The following is a 17,542-nucleotide window of genomic DNA, read 5'->3' as shown; positions in this document are numbered from 1 at the left end:
TTCCTGGCATAAATAACATCTCAGTAGCGATTCTCTACCAAGGTTTGTTGACAGGCTTAGCAGTGCTATTCAAGAAAAGTACAACTATTGAATCAAAGAATCCTCATTCCTTCAAGTCCAGGAAAGGTTTCTGAGTAGGGGAAGGGCCACCATTGCAGGCCTTATTGTTTTTCCAATATTCCTAGGGTCAGTCTCCGTCTCCTGTACCCCCCAGCCCTCACCCACTCACACCCCTGCCCCTGCTGGCCTGGAGTCCGTAGTTCTGTAGCTCTGACTGCTCCAGATCTTTCATGCTATTAGTTTGCTCCCCTATGTCTTCTGTAGAGTCTTCCCCAAAGCTTGCTGGACCCTATGGGGATAGGGCAGAGGTGGCCTTATGAGATGGTGGGAGGAAAAGGTGGTACTTCCTGGGGCAGAGAGTGCAGTCTGGACACCTGTGTGGCATGAGACCTCTTTCCTTCCTCCCCTCCTGCTCTGGCCATTCAGTCCACAGTGAGCTTTGGGACTCCCAGGTACACAAGGTGACCTTTTCTTCCAGGACAGATATTGCCTTGACATTGATGCAGGTTGTAGCACAGCTTGTCCCCTGATGCCCAGTGCAGGCCTGCTCTCTAACTTCCCCCAGTCTTAGGATTTAAGTGTATCTCTCTTAACCAGGATGCAGAAAGCAATTATTTATGTGTTTTTCTTATTCTTTCCTTCCATTTTCCTTTCTCTTCTGTCCTTTCCCCTTGGTTTCTCTGTCTTACCCCATTCCTGTCTTCCTGTTTTCCTGTCTCTGTCTCTCTCCCTTGGAGAGATATTTGTTGGGTCCTGGAGGCATGGGGAGAGCATCTGAGTCCATACAATATACTCTTGTGGCCCTTGGAAGAGTACCCAATAAACTCAGCCTAGGACAACAACAGGGTTTTGGCCCTGACCTAAAAGCTCTGACACCTGAGAGAGGAGCAAGAGAGCCAGAACCATTGTTGCCAGTTCTCATAGGGGTTGTGACCCAGTCAGCCCTGGTGGCCATGGCAGCCTCCTAAGCTGGGGAGGGTCCTGGCAGTGGGATCTGAGCTGGAGATTGAGGATCCCCACCTGGCAGCCTTGAACAGAAATGGGGGAATGACTTTTGTCTTCAGCCCAGACCTAGGGGGAGCCTCAGCTGCCTGCCTGTGCTGTGGGGTCCTCATGAGGTGAAGCACAGGGCCAGGCCTGTGGAGGAGGCTGGGCAGGTGGGTTCATATGGGCTCGTGGAGGCCCTGGACAGGAGCTGTGCCTCATGCTGTTGGCAGTGGAACCCCCAAAGAAGGGATTTGCTCAGGGGAGCTCTTTGGTCTAATCGGCTTCTAGACACCCACTTACTGCAGGGAGCCCAGTGGCTGTGAGTGTGGGGAGCCAGACTGAAGGCAGAGGGACGCTCCTTAGAGGACAGCTGCCATCACCCAGCTCAGAGGCCAGGGAGATTCCTGGGGCAGGAGAAGAAGGGAGGGGACTGAGGACTGCAGAGGAGGTAGAATGTGGGAATTCTGGTGATCCATTGGATGTGAGGGGCATAGGAGGTGATAGCACTGAGATGCTGCCTTGCTCTTGAATTGGTAGGACTTAGGGCTAGTAAGCTTTGGTATGTAAAATATGGAAACCCCAGAGAGAGGCAAGGCCACCATCATAACTTTTATCTGCTATCTGCTGCCCTTCCCAACTCTCCAAGCTTTCTTGCATCTCCCACTGTCGTTGCATGCTGGGTTTGTATTGGGTTTCTTTGTTTTTTGTATTTTGCCTCCCAAAATTTCTTAAGTCCTTGCCCTTCTGCATGTCTGCCATGCAGGAGGGAGCTCTCCCACTTTGGAGTGAAGGTGTCTGTGATTGAACCTGGTCACTTCAGGACCAGTATGGCCGGCTCTGAGAGGCATTTACAGAACCTCAAGGAGCTGTCGGACTAGGCCAGCCCCGAGGTCAAGGAGACGTATGGGGAGAAGTTTCTGATATCCCGTGAGTGAGCTGTGGACAGTGGGGAGATAAAGAAATCCTTGTCTAGAAGTCTGGGTCCATCATTAGTGCCTCCAACAGTATGAGAATCTGTCCTCCAAACTCTGCCTCCCCAAAAAAGTGAGGACATTTATCCCCATTCCCAGGGTGCCATGTGGTCAACTGTTCACCTAAAGGAAGCATCCAAGCTTTCTATAATTGGGACCACTGCCTCATCTGAATCCCTCATTATTTTGAAGAGGAAACTAAAGTCAGAGACAGTGGCTACCAGTGGGCTCATGGGCAGCTGGGTTTAGAGATAGCTGATTTTCATATTCTTAGGCTGTTAGTAGAGACCTTCCATTTATGAGTCCAGATATCTCAAAAAGAGAGGCAGAGGGGGCTTAGAGTGAAACGGATGTTCCTTGGGTGAAGGTTGGGGCACTCTCTGGGGAATATGGATGGATTAGACTTGAGGCATATCATTTGGGGGGCCTGGAATTCTTAGACACTGTCCTCCTAATTCAGAGCTCTAAATGGGAGGGAAGGGATGTGCTAGTACTTTAAGGATCTTTCCTCATCCTTAACATGCATCAGAAAAGCATCTAGAAGGCTTTGGGCAAAATGCAGTACGAATCTATCCTTGTTGACCCACTGCATGGAGCGCTCACTACTCAGCTGGCTGAGACACCAATCTTCTCTACCTCCCCATGAGCGACATGCCTACCTTCCTATGGACGTCACGCTCAACTGGGGCTCTCCAAGGCTGGCTAAGCCCCTGTGAATCCAAGACTGGGGTGCATGGTTGGGTGGAGCTGGGTGATCTGGGTGAGGTGATGTGTCTTGGGGAGAGTAATGGTGTGGTGGGAGGGAGCACTCTTGCCATTTGGATGCCTATCCCAGCTTCTTCCTCATGCCCTCCACAGAATTCCACTGAGATATCACTCAGGACTGGCAACATAGGAGGAAAGAACCAAGGTGTTCTTCTAAAGATTGGGACCCAGTAACGCTCATAGGTGTCCTGTTGCCTTTGAGTCTCTTGGCCAATTCTGAGGAGTCTACACAATGGGAGCGTGTGAGGAGGGGAAGGATCCACAGCCCACACCTTCTCTGCCTCCTGCTTCTTCCCCAGGTGTGCATCAACCTGGCCAGTCTATTACACTCTCTCCATGATGGAAATGGCCTGGAGGAAGTGGATGGGGGCTCCTCTGAATATACCTGTGGATAAGGTGTGGGGCGACAGGGCAGCCATCAGCCTGACCCCTAGACCTCAGGTGCCAGCTCTGGGGGCATTGGCTGGCAGTGGTGTTCTCGATAGGGATTCTGACAGAGGACACAGGAACCAATGTTTGACCCTCTTAAAACCATTGGCTGGCAGTGGTGTTCTCAATAGGGATTCGGACAGAGGACACAGGAACCAATGTTTGACCCTCTTGAAACCATGACCCTCAAAAAACCATCTGGTTACTTTAGTTCTAGAGCAAAAGCTAAAAAGTGCAGCCATGTGCAGCAAGTTGCCTTCTAGTCTGAGGGGAGCATGGGCTGTGAACAAGAGGGAGGAGGAGGCAGGTGCCTTCATGGGGATCTGGGGATAAGAGGGATGAACTCAGGAGGAAATTGAAGAGAGAAGTTGGATTATCCCTGCCCTGTCTCAGCCCTTTCTGCCACCAAGGTGAGGGGCAATTGTTTCCTTTCCAGGAGTGAATCAAGTAGCCTGGGGTCACAGGAGTGCACAGAGGGACAAGGAAGCAATGACATGTCACAAAGGCACTGGCAGGCCTCTTTGTAGCACTTTGTAGCGACCTCTTTGTAGCACTCAGTGACCGGCCCTCACTTTAACATCATTGCACTTGGGAGGGGTGCTGTTTCATGGGGTGAGAAATAGAGTGGTGGGAGGGAGCTCTCAAGTTCAGGGTCATGTACCTCACTTCCCTCACCTCTGTTCTAGTTTTTTTCTGGGACGTTATTCAGGACTCTGGTGATATTAGGAGGAAAGAACCACATTTTGCTGCTTAGGAAGGGAGACCCAATCACAGATAATGGCATCCCACTTCCTTGGGCTCTGAGCTTCATGGCCCACCTGTCAACCTGAAGAATCCACACTTGTGGAAGGTCTTGAGCAACTGGGGGTGGGTGAGCCCACACCTGCTCTTCCTCCTGTCTACCTCATCAGGGTGTGTCTTGGACCTCAGCAGTCTATGCTCTCCCACTGGAGGGAAATGGCCTGGCAGAGGAGAGGGCTCCTCTCCTCTGAGATACCTGTGTGCATGGGGTGGGGATGGGGAGTGCAGCTACCAACCTGACCTATCAGACCTTAGGGGCCAGCTTGGCAAGGAATGCTGTCATCTGAGAGAGGGAGGCATTTCTAGCCCTGGGAAGAAGAGCCTTCTATGTGGTCCTACCTCCCTCACACCCCCCACCCTCATGGACTGTGTGTTTAGTTTGAGGCCAGGGGAACACTGCCAGCATAGAGGCCCAGGAGGTGCTGAGTCAGGCCCAGGCCTGTGCTGGGGCAGTTCTGAGTTATCCTTATGCTAAGTCAGACCCAACTCCTGGACCTCACCTGTGTCCTCAAGGACTGGGATACCCAATGCCCCGGACCTGCTCAGTCTTGAGTGACATGGTCTGACCTGTTTCAGCCAAGACTTCTCTGTTCATTCACCCAGGAGGCAGACAGAGACTGGGAGATTGTTCCCAGATCCCGCATAGGAGGTGCTCTGCCTCAGGTTGGTTATGAAGTAGGTGTGGTTTGCTTTCTACCATTTCCCACCTCCATCCCCTATAAGCTTTAGGTCTGCTCTTTGGGGGTGGGTTCATAATCTGGCCCCCTCCCCTACTTTGTTAAGGAACGGCCAAACCCTGCGGGGCTTTCCCAGGGTGACACCTGCTTTATGTGATTCCACGCTGGTCAGACTTGGCAAATGGTGGATCACAGAGATACATCCTTTGTCCCTTCACACTAGAGAACTTTGTGGTCCCATTTCTGTGTCAGACTCGCTAAGCCATGAAGGTGTGAGCTAGGACCAGGCTCATCCCAAGGAATGGTGACCCTAGATGTTGATCCAAAGAACCACAGAGGCTCCAGCATCATTCCCTGCATCTTATGCAATTCTGGGTGTGGCCCCTCACTACTCACACCTCTGGTTTCCTTATTTCCTTTCCTTTACCACCTTACCTCTTAGCTTTCTGTAAATTATTTGCTAAATTGCCTAGAATCTCTGTTTCTCCTCCAAGTCCCGACCCTGAGAATTTTCTATGTCTCTGGCCCCAGTTCTCTGCTCCTCCTATATCTCATCCCCTCTTACAGTCAAGGCCTCTGCCCAGACAATTCCCTCAGCTGCCCAGTGAACTCATGATCCCTCCTCATCATCTTGCCCAGGGCTGCTTACTGGTGACCTGAGTATGACCCCCACAGGGTGTCAGGCCTGAGTCCCCCAGGTCTTTCTGCTTTCTGGTGGCTAAGCTTCACATGCCAGCCTCCCCTATAGGAGGGCCCTGCTGCCTCTAGCCTCAGGACAATGGAGGTACATCCACCCTAGGAGAAATCCATTGCTTTTCATCCTCTCTCATGATGGAGACTTACCTAAGAATTCCAGAGAGCTGATGACCTGCGACTTGTTTCTCTTGGGGTTTGGAAGGTACAGAACCAATGTTGTTTGTTTTACATTAATAAATTTGTCTTGAGTATTTTCCCTGAAAATAAACTTATTTACATACCTGCACTCACGACAAATGATTTTGATCCCTGGAGACCAAAATCCCCAGGCTGGGTTGGGGGCAGGGTGGGGACAGGATTTCTAGGGGAGCTGTCTGGGGTGAGTCCTCATCTTTCATTTGCCTGCCTTACACCGCCTGGGTGAGCCACCACTCATCACCAACATTACAAGTGGATTATTTCCAATTCTTGGCAGCTTTACCCATCAGGGCAGGGGGAGAGAGGGAGGCAGCTACCAGGGCTGTCAGAGGTGACAAGGCTTCAGGTTGGACTTGAATTTCTTGCATCTGGGCTAATTGCTGTGGTGATGCATCCACCTATAAAAATTACAGCGTGGCTCACCCAGGGACCTAGATTTGTTGCAAGCTGTGGGAGGAAGGAGAGTTCTTCTTCCAGGTGGTTTCCTGCAGACTGCCTGCTAGGGCTCAGAGGACCAGCTTCTTCCCTGCTGTCTCCTGAGCCCAGTCCCTCTTGGCCATCACATTCCCCTTGCCCTATGGCGGCCCTCACAGACCTCTCATTTATGTATCGCTGGTTCAAGAACTGCAATCTGGTTGGCAACCTCTCAGAGAAGTACGTCTTCATCACAGGCTGTGACTCTGGCTTCGGGAACCTGCTGGCCAAACAGCTGGTTGATCGGGGCATGCAGGTGCTGGCTGCTTGCTTCACTGAGGAGGGATCCCAGAAACTTCAGCGGGATACCTCCTATCGGCTGCAGACCACCCTACTGGATGTCACCAAGAGCGAAAGCATCAAGGCGGCGGCCCAGTGGGTGAGGGACAAAGTGGGCGAACAAGGTGGGGCGAATTACATTCTTTGGCTTTCTTGGTTTCTCCTTCTTCCTCTTCCTCTCTCCCGAAGCATCTGACAGTATCAGAGACCCTGATGTCCAGATTGGGTGGGAGGGGTGATGTAGGGAAAGGCCCCTGCCTCAATCTGATTGGAAGCCACTGCATGGTTTGGCCTGTTCACATGAAGGGGTGATTTCCCAAGGAAGTTTTCTGTCCTGGAAACTCAGAGAAACGGGAAAGAGGTCTCAATAGGAAGCGAGGGGGGAAGATGTGTTCTGTGTGTCCAAACCTCTAAAAATGGACGTGCCTGGCTGGGCGTGGTGGCTCACGCCTATGAGCCCAGCACTTTGGAAGGCCGAAGTGGGAGGATCATGAGGTCAAGAGATCGAGACCATCCCGGCCAACATGGTGAAACCCCATCTCTACTAAAAAGTATAAAAATTACCTGGGTGTGGTGGCACGTGCCTGTAGTCCCAGCTACTCAGGAGGCTGAGGCAGGAGAATCACTTGAACCCGGGAGGCGGAGGTTGCAGTGAGCCAAGATTGCGCCACTGCACTCCAGCCTCGTGACAGAGCAAGAATCCCTCTCAAAAAGAAAAAAAAGAAAAAAAAAGGATGTGCCTCTCTGATGTTTCAGCAGTCCTAACCATCAGCTCCTGGGGAAATACAAACACATTTCTTGTTGGGATCAGGATGGGGGAGGGGGAATGAGACAGGAGGCTGGATCCCATGAGTGGGTGCAGTTTGTCTCCTTGACTATGTCAGGCAGGGGAGAAAGAGATCTGGTCTCTTCTTGACATCATGGTGGGTGTTGATTTGACTTCAGGGCAAGTATGTATGTCACAGTGGCTGCTCCTATTGGGAAAGGAAGCTGTGGACTGGGGCTGGCCCAGGACTGTGTGGGGACCTGCCTCATGCACTTCCAGCACACAGGGTGTGGGCCCAGGAACAGGAGGAACAGGATGGCTGAGTTGCAGAAGCAGCAGACTAGAGGAAGTCCTCCCTCCTAAAGGAACTAGTCTGGAGCCCATGCGCAGGTCAGGGCAACAGAGCCCTGGAGCCAGGGGGATCTAGACAGTAACTCCCTGCTTGATTCTTCTCCTTAGCACTTATCACTAGTCAATGTACAATAGATTTTACTTATTTATTGTCTGTTTCCTCTGCTAGAATAAAGCTTCCTGGGGACAAGGATTTTTGTCCCTTTTATTTACTGTACATCCTTAGTACCTAGAATAATGTCTGGCACCTAGTAAGGTACTGAATAAATAGATTTGAGTGAGCTAATTAATTAATAATTCAGCAAGAGTGAGCCTCTGTCTTCAGCAGGCTGTCTCAGCCAGTTCCCTACATTCAGCCTTGAGCCACTTGCCTTAATACCTCACTTAGCATGTGAGTTTCCTGTTGCTATTGTAACAAATAACACAACTGTGGGGTCTGAAGACAATACAAACATATTATCTTGTAGTTGTGGAGGAGTAATGTCTAAAATAGGCCTCACTGATCTAAAATCAAAGTCAGCAGAGCTGTGTTCCTTCTAGAGGCTGTAGAGGAGAATCCGTCTCATCGACTTTTCCAGCTTCCAGAGGCAGCTGGCATCCCCTGGCTCCTGGCCTGCTACCTCCATCTTCAAGGCCCGCAAGGTTGGGCCCAGTCTTTTTCACACTTTTCTCAAGCTCTCTGATTCTCCGGTTTCTGCCTCTTTCCACTTAGGACTTGTGATTATATTGGGCTCACCAGGTTAATCCAGGATAATTTCCCGTGTTAGCTTCCTCCCTAACTTTAAGGACAATTAATTAGCAACCTCCATTCCACCTGCAACCTTAATTCCCCTTTCCCATGTAATCCAGCAGATTCACAGGTTCCAGAGATAATGAGGATGGGGACATCTTTGGGGGACCATTATTTTGCCTAAGCCACTTGGCAATATCCTGGTCTAAGAAACACTGGGAACTGGGGTGGGTAGGGGGATGGGAGAGGAAGTTCTTTCATGCTTTCTCATTGCTCCTGAATGGAGAAAGGCAGGGAGACTGGGTAGGGGCATGGCTTGGGTGGGGACCCCAGCCCTAGAGGGAGGGGTGGACTAGGATTTATGTTTGTGTTGAGACCTGCCCTCAGGAGACAGTGGGATGCGCCTGCAGAGTATCTTGGGGCTGCTGAGGCTGGGGCTGTGGTGCGAATCACCAGGCAGTAGGACTTGGGGAATCCTTGCATGAAGGAGCTGGAAGGGGTCCTTGAGGAGTGTTTAGAGGGGTTTACAGTAGAACCCCAATATGTAAAACAAATGAAAGGAGAGCTTCTCCTGCATTTTCCTCCCCCTAGAAGGCTTGCAAAATACAGCCTGGAAACAACTGTTTTAGTCTAATCTGATGAAGAGCCTGAGGCCCAGAGAGGGAAGTGACTTGTTCAAGGCTGGAGGTAAAACCAGGACTGGACCTGAAGCTCTTCAACCCTGGGCCCCTGCAGAGTTGAATGACAACACTTAGCATTATTTCTTTCCATTTGTACCAACCTAATTGAAATATCTCAAGGATAGTCCTCATCACATTTTCCATAATTATTTTATTTAAATATTTTATATATTTATTTATAAATATTATTATTTCCTTCTAGGCTTGTGAGTTCCTTGAGGGATAAGATGCTGTGTTGTTCATTTTATGTCTCCTTTGCCCTGTATTTTACTTTATTTTATTTTATATCGTTTTATTTCATTTTATTTTTAGAGACAGAGTCTCACTCTGTCACCCAGGCTGGAGTGCAATGGCACCATTATAGCTCACTGTAACCTCGAACAAGGTAACCTGTAACCCGGGCTCAAGTGATTCTCCCACCTCAGCCTCCCAAGTAGCTAGAACTACAGGCACATACCACCACGCCTGACTAATTTTTTTTCTTTTTTTGTAGAGACAGGGGTCTTACTCTGTTGCTCAGGCTGGTCTCAAACTCCTGGCCTCAAGTGATCCTCCCACCTCAGCCTCTCAAAGGGTTGTGATTACAAGTGTGAGTCACTGCACCTGGCCTCCTTCACCCTGTAATTGTCACAGACTAGATAAATGCATGAATAAATGTGTGAAGATGAATGAATGAATGGATTGATTTTGGTAGTATGTGAAATGCAGTTGGTTATACTTAAGTGAATAGAGAGGGAGAAGTATGATGGGGAAGGGATCTAAACATTAATTCATTGGTATGAAAATGAAACTCTTATCCCAAAGCTGATAGCTGAAATGCTGTCACCTAACACCTCGATTGTAGCTAGTACAGAGCGCCAGCTAGCCGGCAGACTTTATGTGAATCAGGAAAAAGTGTCCCTTCAGGGAAAACGAGTTAGTAAAAGACACACCTTCCTTTTATGTTATAGCCTGACCGAGTTATGTCTTGTGCACCTGCTCAACCATCCTTGAGGGCACTGAGCCGGTGGGGAGCAGAACTTGGTTCTTTCCCAGGCCCACTGATGATTTCTGTGTGGTTCATCTCACCCCCAGGCCTCTGGGCCCTGGTGAACAATGCTGGTGTGGGCCTGCCCAGTGGTCCCAACGAATGGCTGACCAAGGATGACTTTGTGAAGGTGATTAATGTGAACCTGGTGGGACTGATCGAAGTGACCCTTCACATGCTGCCCATGGTCAAGAGAGCCCGGGGCAGGGTTGTCAACATGTCCAGCTCTGGTGGTCGTGTGGCTGTCATTGGTGGTGGCTACTGCGTCTCCAAGTTTGGCGTTGAGGCCTTCTCTGACAGCATAAGGTAACTGGGCCCTGGTACTGAACAATTCTGGGTGAAAATCCCAGAGATTAGAGAGGGTTGGGAGTGACAGCATGTGGGCAGGGGAATTCCGCAGACAGGAAGCTAACACAATAGCAGAAGGAAGGTTAGACCTCAAGGTGCTTTCTCCAAGGACCAAGAGCAGGGATGAGGAGAAGAGGTAGGGTGGAAATACAAGGCATCAGGTGGGCCTTCCCTTGAGCGGCACCAGGGTGAGTGAAACCCTGTTTGGGCCTGTGAGAGGAGGGAGAGTCCCCCAAACAGACAGACAGGCCTGGAGGCACAGGTCCCCTCTGGGAGGTCCTTAGAGGAGCGTGCAGGCCTTGTGTATATCCACACCATTCACCGTGTGGGTGTTGAGTGAGGGGTTGCTAATGGGAGGGACCTGGTGGGAGGCAAGGCTTTGGCCTAGATTCTCTATTGACTTCTTCCCGCTGGTTGTGCCTAATGCAAATTGCCCAGAGACTGTTGGGCCAGTTTTGGAAAGGGCTGAGTCCCTAAGGAAGGGCTTATTTGCACAAAGGCAATGCCAGGGCCAAGTACAGGGGTGAGAGAAGCATCTCTAGGTTCCTGAAAGACCAGCCCATCCAGAGGTGACTCTCCGTGATGATTGTCATCTTGGGGCCCAGACTGACTGCAACTCTTCTTTCCCAGGCGTGAGCTCTACTACTTTGGGGTGAAAGTCTGCATCATTGAGCCAGGGAACTATCGGACAGCCATTCTCGGCAAGGAGAACCTGGAGTCACGCATGCGAAAGCTTTGGGAGAGGCTGCCTCAGGAGACCCGGGACAGCTACGGAGAGGATTATTTCCGCATCTGTAAGTTCCTGGGGCAGGAGAGGGGTCTCTGAGGGGGGCGAGTGGGTCTTGGGGTCATTAGCTGGCTTTCCGTTTACAGATGGTGAGACAAAATGCAGAGGAGTTCAGGACCCAAGGTCACATAGTGGCACAGCTGGGGTTTGAGAATAGAGAGCAAGTGGCAGAATCATCACTTCTGGAGCAGCCCGGGGAGTTAAGGGCAATTCAGCCCACTCCTGGCACCTGCCCCCACAGCATCATGATGCAGGGGAATCAGGTGAAAATGCACTGAGATAAATACAGCAAAGAGATCAAGGGCATGGCTGCTGGAGCCGGACTGCCTGGGTTCAAATCCTGGCTCTACTACTTACCAGCTAGGAGACTTTGGACCTATTACCTAGTTTTCCCATGCCTCAGTTTTCTTATTTACAAAATGGAGCTAAAGATAGTGCCTCCCTCATGGGGTTGTTATGAGGGTTAGTATGTGTGAAGTACTTTGCACATTCTGAGTGCTTGTTAATAAAGAAGAAAATGAGCACATGGGGATTTAAAAGGGAGGGTCTCTAGGCAACTCTCTTTCTTTCCCTGAGCTGAGGGTCTCCTGTGAATCATAGGTGTTTTTGGAGGGTAGAGGTGGGACACGGCAGCTGTTTACCCTGCTGCCCCAAAACTTTCTGCCACGAAAGTTGTCTGCTGGATGTCGTACGTCAACAGAGCACAAAGCCAAGTCAGCCATTTTTTTCACTTAATACATACACACTTTATTGCATTTTTGTTTTTTGTTTTTGTTTTGAATCAGTAATACAAAGCATGCAAGGCTGCCATGTCCCAAGCCTGTGTGGGGCTGGAGAGCTGGAGCGGACACAGCAGTATGCCTGCCCTTCACTGCCTGTAGCTTATGGCCCAGTAGGGGAGACAAACATAAATCAAAACACATGTGTTTATGGTAGATGTGGATAAGTGCTACAGAGGAGAAACAGGGTTGTGAAAGAAGAATGGAGCAGGAAGTTGCGGTCCCAATTCAGACTATGGTGAAGGGGAGAGCTTCTGAGTTGACTTTGAGGAGGAATAAGAGTTAGGTGTTGCTGGGAAGGGGAAAGAGGGGATGCGTAGGGACTTTTTTTCTGCAGGAAGGCTCTGAGGCAGAAAACTCCATTTGAGGAACTTTAAAGAAACCAGCAGGTGGGAAGCAATGGGAGGTAGCTGGGGTATACGGAATAAATTAGAGCATCAAAGCACACTGAGGATTAAGGGGTGAGGGAGAGGAAGCTATCAAGGGTGAGTGTTAGCTTTACAGCTTGAAGAACATGGTGAATGGAGGTGTCTTCATTCATTGATTTAGGGAAGTCTCAGGGAAAAATGTTTGGAGTACTCCTTAGATAAATTCATCTTTTAGTGCTAGACATGTTAGGATTCTGTGAGAAGAAAATGTCTAAGGATTTACACTAGTTGGGACTTACTCAGTGACAGAAGATCCAATGCAAATTATTTAAGCAGAAAAGGAATTTCTTGCCTCACCTGACTAAAAAGTTGAGCAAGATAAGCTTCAGGTACAACCTGACCCAGACTGCAAATGATGTTGCTAGGACCTGGTTCCACCCATTTCTTGGCTCTGCTTCTTTTGCACTGACTCCAGTCTCTAAGCTCTCTCCCCTGTGGGAGCCACATTGCTGCAGCCTCTCTTCACCTCCACCTAGGGTGAGGTCTGCTGGGAAAATAGGAGAGTTATTTCCAGTACCTCTCCCAAAAGTCCTAATGTACACTCCGACTTGGAGGACCTTATGGTGACCGCGTCATGGGGGACCACAAGATGCACCCAACCCTAAACCAATCACTGCGCCCAGGGGAATGTGAAGGTGTGATTGGCTCAGGCTGGGCTGTGTGCTCTGCCCAGACCAATGGACACAGTGTGGGGGAGGCATAGGTCCCCAGAGGGAAATCTGCAGCTGTTGGGAACAAGGAGAGAAGATGTTAGCATGTGTGGGGAAGAATATTTATCCTCTGTGTGATCATTCTTAGCAAAGAGTAGTTCAAATTATTTGTGGAGCTGCTTGGAGGCTGGGGTGAAATGGGTTCAGCCAGTGTCTGGAAACCTCACAAAGTCATTTTCTAAGTAAGCACTCAGGGTGAAGAGAGCTTGTAGCATCTTTAGTGTGGTCCATGAAAGAATATGTATAAAGGCAAACTCCTCCGAAAACCTTGTCCAAAAGCTAGTATTGTACTAAAGAATAGTAAGGATTGGGTTTATAAAATATCTTAGGCCAATTCACCTGTAGTCCACACCATAATTTCAGAGGAAAATTTTCAGGCAGTGGTCAACTACATTTAGATAAACGTTTTCCCAAGTGGTTATACTAGAATTTTTGCTTCAGTTGCCCAGTGTTTATTGGGATTCAGAGATGAGACACTCTCCAGGAAACTAGCAGGGAAGATGTGAAAGCAAATACACCACCACATGAAGAATCTTGCTATAATGGACATGCATACAAAACAAAGCAGCAATGCAGACTTCATTCTGCTGTCACAGAAGCCTTACAGAGGTGACAGTTAATGCCTTAGTGAGTTTTGAAGGATGAATAGGAGTACACCAAAAGGGAAAGAGATGGCGGATGTTTCACACAAGAGGAAGGGTGTGAGCAACGTTTTAGTGACCTGACATAGCATTGTATGCTTTTGGAGGCAGTGCAGATTCAGGCTTGTATTCCAGCAGTCCCTCTAATCATGTTGTATAGCTCTCCAAACTTGTTTATCCATTTATAAAGTACAATTCCTCTCTCATGGATTGTTAGGAGAATTAAACAGAAATGCAAAGTACTCAGCTCTGCTACAGTAAGAGCTGAACAAACCTTTGCCATTGCCATTATAGTCTGGCAGGAGTGCTGTGGGTGATGATTGAGGAGGGGAGAGATTAGGAGTCAGATCATGAAATGCTTTGATTGCTATAGTAGGGAGCATGGCTCTTATCCTAAAGGCATTAGAGAGCCTTGTAAATGGCTCTGAAATGAAGGATCAGATTTGTGTCACCGTGGGAAGGATAAAAAGTCCACCTGGGGGACTACTGCAGAAACCCAGTGAAGGAACGATAAAGACATGAAGTTGTAAGTCCTGATGGTTCTGGTGGTGGGGGGTGGCTATGTGACAGACAGAAGAGATATTTAGGAGTAGTCCTAGAGCATCGCTGGGTACAAACTCAGCCAGTTGCTGTGACTGACCAAACAGGCCCCTGGCTTGTAACCCCTAGGACCAGGCCTGATACTTTATAGATTTTGTCCTGCTTAATTCTCCCAATAACAAAAACATTTTCCCAGGTGCCCAGCTCCAAAGCCTATGTCCTTCCTCACTGTGAAGGAGAGTGACAAAGCTGGATGGGTCCTTCCGTCTCCCATCCTACTCCATGCCTAGCAGGGTGCCCAGCACTGAATGGCAGCTAATATCTATTTGAGAAAACAATGAAAGCAAGTGCCTCATACCATTCCCCATGTCTGGGGTAACTTCTCCCACCCCACTGCCTGTGCAAGCCCTCCCCACCTCTCAGAACCCAGTCCCCAGCCCATCTCACCATGTCAGCTTGCTCCACATCCTCAGCCCACAAAGCTTTCCCTGGCGCCGAGGGGGCAGAGAGAGCCTCCTGGGCATCCTGAACGATTCCTTCGACCCTCAGCCCTGCTGCTGGTGGCCTCTGTGCCAGCTCTACGGTCAGAGGTCAGGGTGTGGCTTCCTAAGACATTACTGCTTTATGGACAGTCTGGCTTTGAGTTAGTGTGGCTCTTGTTGAGATCCCAAAATATAGTTTGGCTTTTCCCCTGCATCAGTTTTCTTTCCAGGAAACAGAAAATGGAGTTTCTCGGAGTCTGGGGTGAAGGGGACTGAAGTGATGCTGCCCCATTCTCACCAACCACCCACAAGGGTCCTGGCCCCAAGCGGGTGAATTCCTTGCCTGCCTGGACCATTCTCAAAGTCAGGGCAGCTTTGGCTTCCTCTCCATTTTCAAGTTTTCATACCTTATCAGGGCAGTCTGACTTTGAAGCATCATTTTCCCTGGAGTCCTCAGGGCTCTCAATGAAGCATGAATCCCCCTGTCCTGGGGTGAGGATGCAGATGAGGGCCTGGTGGGTGTGTGGTGTGGCCCTTCTCCCATTTATGTCATGAACTTTGGCAGACTTGTACTATTTGGGTGCTCTGTCCCCATCTCCACCCCTGTGGGTCAATGCAAACAGAACAACTCCTCACATTTGTGAGGGCCCCACGAGGTGCTTGTCTATGCCTTAGATTATTTGAGTGACAGTGGCCTTATGACTGAGGTAGGGGCAGTATTACTATTTTTAAATAATATTTTCTCCTGCATGTTTTTGTTTAAATGTGGGAACTCTAGGAAGTACATAGAAGAAAAAAAAAAGGGCTGTTTTCCCATCATGTTTGCTCTTCTGTACTCCCCCAGTGTCTACCCTGCTGTTAATCATCTTTGTTATTCTCCAGGACAGATATTTTTTGAGATGGAGTCTCACTCTGTTGCCCAGGCTGGAATGCAGTGGCGCGATCTTGGGTCACTGCAACCTCCCACTCCTGAGTTCAAGTGATTGTCATGCCTCAGCCTCCTGAGTAGCTGCGATTATAGGCACGCGCCACCACGCTCACCTAATTTTTGTATTTTTAGTAGAGACAAGGTGTCACCATGTTGGCCAGGCTGGTCTCAAACTCCTGACCTCAGGTGATTGGCCTGGCTTGGCATCCCAAAGTACTGGGATTACAGGCCTGAGCCACTATGCCCAAACTTTAGGAAAGATAGTATTATCTCCATTTTATAGACAATAAAAGTTTAAGCTCAAAGTCATATAACTAATAAGCGGCACAGTTATAAGGAGAATGTGCACAGTTCTTCTCATCACCAGTCTAATGCAATAGTAGGACTTCAATGCACAATTGTTGAATTCAGAAAGATAAATAAGACTATTTGTTTATTTATTTATTTATTTATTTATTTTGAGACAGCGTGTCATTCTGTTTCCCAGGCTGGAGTGCAGTGGTGTGACCTCGGCTTACTGAAACCTCAGCCTCCTGGGTTCAAGTGGTTCCCATACCTCAGCCTCCCGAGTAGCTGGGATTACAGGCATGTGCCACCAAGCCCAGCTGATTTTTATATTTTTAGTAGAGATGGGGTTTCACCATGTTGGCCAGGCTAAGATTATTTATAATAGTCTTATAAATGTGTGTTTGTATAAGGGACCACCTGGAGGGTGTGGCGGACCTGCCTGAAATGTTAGATCAGGGATCTGATGGAAAGGGAACTTGGATGGAATTCGGAAGAAGCCATCTTTTATGAAGAATAACAGAGCCTTTTTCCCCTCTCTGCCCTCAAACAGATACTGACAAGTTAAAAAACATAATGCAGGTGGCAGAGCCCAGAGTCAGAGATGTCATCAACAGCATGGAGCATGCTATTGTTTCCCGGAGCCCTCGCATCCGCTACAACCCTGGCCTGGATGCCAAACTCCTCTACATCCCTCTGGCTAAGTTGCCCACCCCTGTGACAGATTTCATCCTAAGCCGGTACCTTCCAAGGCCAGCGGACAGTGTCTAAACTGGGGAGGATCAATGGGTCAGTGGAGCCTAGAAGTGGGGGAGGAAGGAAGGACCGTGGGGTCACAAAAGGTGGTATCGGTTATCCTGGGGGCATTGGCTGCAAAGGAAGCTTGGCTCAGCTGACACCCACTGCTGTCGAATTTACCAGTAACTTCTAACAGAAGGTGAATGCCTCTTCCCACCCTCTGGGACCCCACAGAAACCTGAGGTGGTCTTTGCAGGTTCAGCGATCTGCAGCAATAGCTCCAAGGACGTCTGTCACCCAATCAGGATACAGCTTTTTCTGGTCCTGGAAAAGTCATGGAGAAGAAAACCAGCTCCTGTGGAATCATGAGCCCCTTTCAGTTATCACTGCCACTGAGAAATACTGTGGGATAATCTTGCCTCCAGGAGAATCTAACCACCTTCCTAATGGGTCCCTCAATATGCATAACTTCATTCACATAACCCATTACTGAAGTATGCGGTAGGGCAGATAGGGAGTGCAAGATTAAATCAGACAAAAGTTTAAAATATTTTCTTTCTTTTTAGATTCTTCTATCTATAGGTTATTGGGATCCACATGAAATAACATTCATTTATTTAATCACCATTAATTTTTCAAATATTTATTGAGTGCCTACTACCTACCGGGCACTTTGTAGGTGCTGGGGGAATATAAAGATGATTAAATCATGGTCTTGGTTTTTTATTGTTTATTTTGTGTTTTGCTTTGCTTTGTTTTAGCACAATATCTAGTAGCTGAGTTAGGACAAACAGCGATAGAAGGAATAGAAATCAGAATACAAATTTTTAGAGCTATGAAGGACCCTGGAGGTCTTCATCCAATACTTCACAAGCTTGGCTGTACCTTGTATCACCCAGTCAATTAAAAAATACAGACTCCTGTGCCAATATTAGAAAATCTGATTCAGTAGGACTGAGATAAGGTCCAGAAATATGTGTTTATA

The 17,542-nt window shown here is 48.8% G+C and overlaps 1 protein-coding gene across 1 annotated transcript; it reads left to right on the top strand.

Moving 5' to 3' along the window:
• The first annotated feature begins 6,014 nt into the window (after positions 1–6,014).
• On the top strand, positions 6,015–17,290 carry SDR9C7 (short chain dehydrogenase/reductase family 9C member 7). The gene is made up of 4 exons (NM_148897.3): positions 6,015–6,462; positions 9,939–10,197; positions 10,870–11,033; positions 16,373–17,290. The coding sequence occupies exons 1-4, from the start codon at positions 6,162–6,164 to the stop codon at positions 16,588–16,590; spliced, it is 942 nt and encodes a 313-aa protein (NP_683695.1). The 5' UTR covers positions 6,015–6,161; the 3' UTR covers positions 16,591–17,290.
• Positions 17,291–17,542: the final 252 nt, after the last annotated feature.

Source organism: Homo sapiens, chromosome 12, assembly GCF_000001405.40.
Source record: "Homo sapiens chromosome 12, GRCh38.p14 Primary Assembly".
Taxonomy (NCBI): domain Eukaryota; kingdom Metazoa; phylum Chordata; class Mammalia; order Primates; family Hominidae; genus Homo; species Homo sapiens.
Note: the sequence above shows the minus strand (reverse complement) of the source record. Positions and strands in the feature narration are given on the sequence as shown.

Bases quoted from the DNA above. Each gene is read 5' to 3' on its own strand.
- SDR9C7 (NM_148897.3), top strand. From the start codon at position 6,162: ATGGCGGCCCTCACAGACCTCTCATTTATGTATCGCTGGTTCAAGAAC. The intron at 6,463-9,938 runs GTGGGGCGAATT...TCTCACCCCCAG, and splicing joins GGACAAAGTGGGCGAACAAG to GCCTCTGGGCCCTGGTGAAC. The intron at 10,198-10,869 runs GTAACTGGGCCC...CTTCTTTCCCAG, and splicing joins GCCTTCTCTGACAGCATAAG to GCGTGAGCTCTACTACTTTG.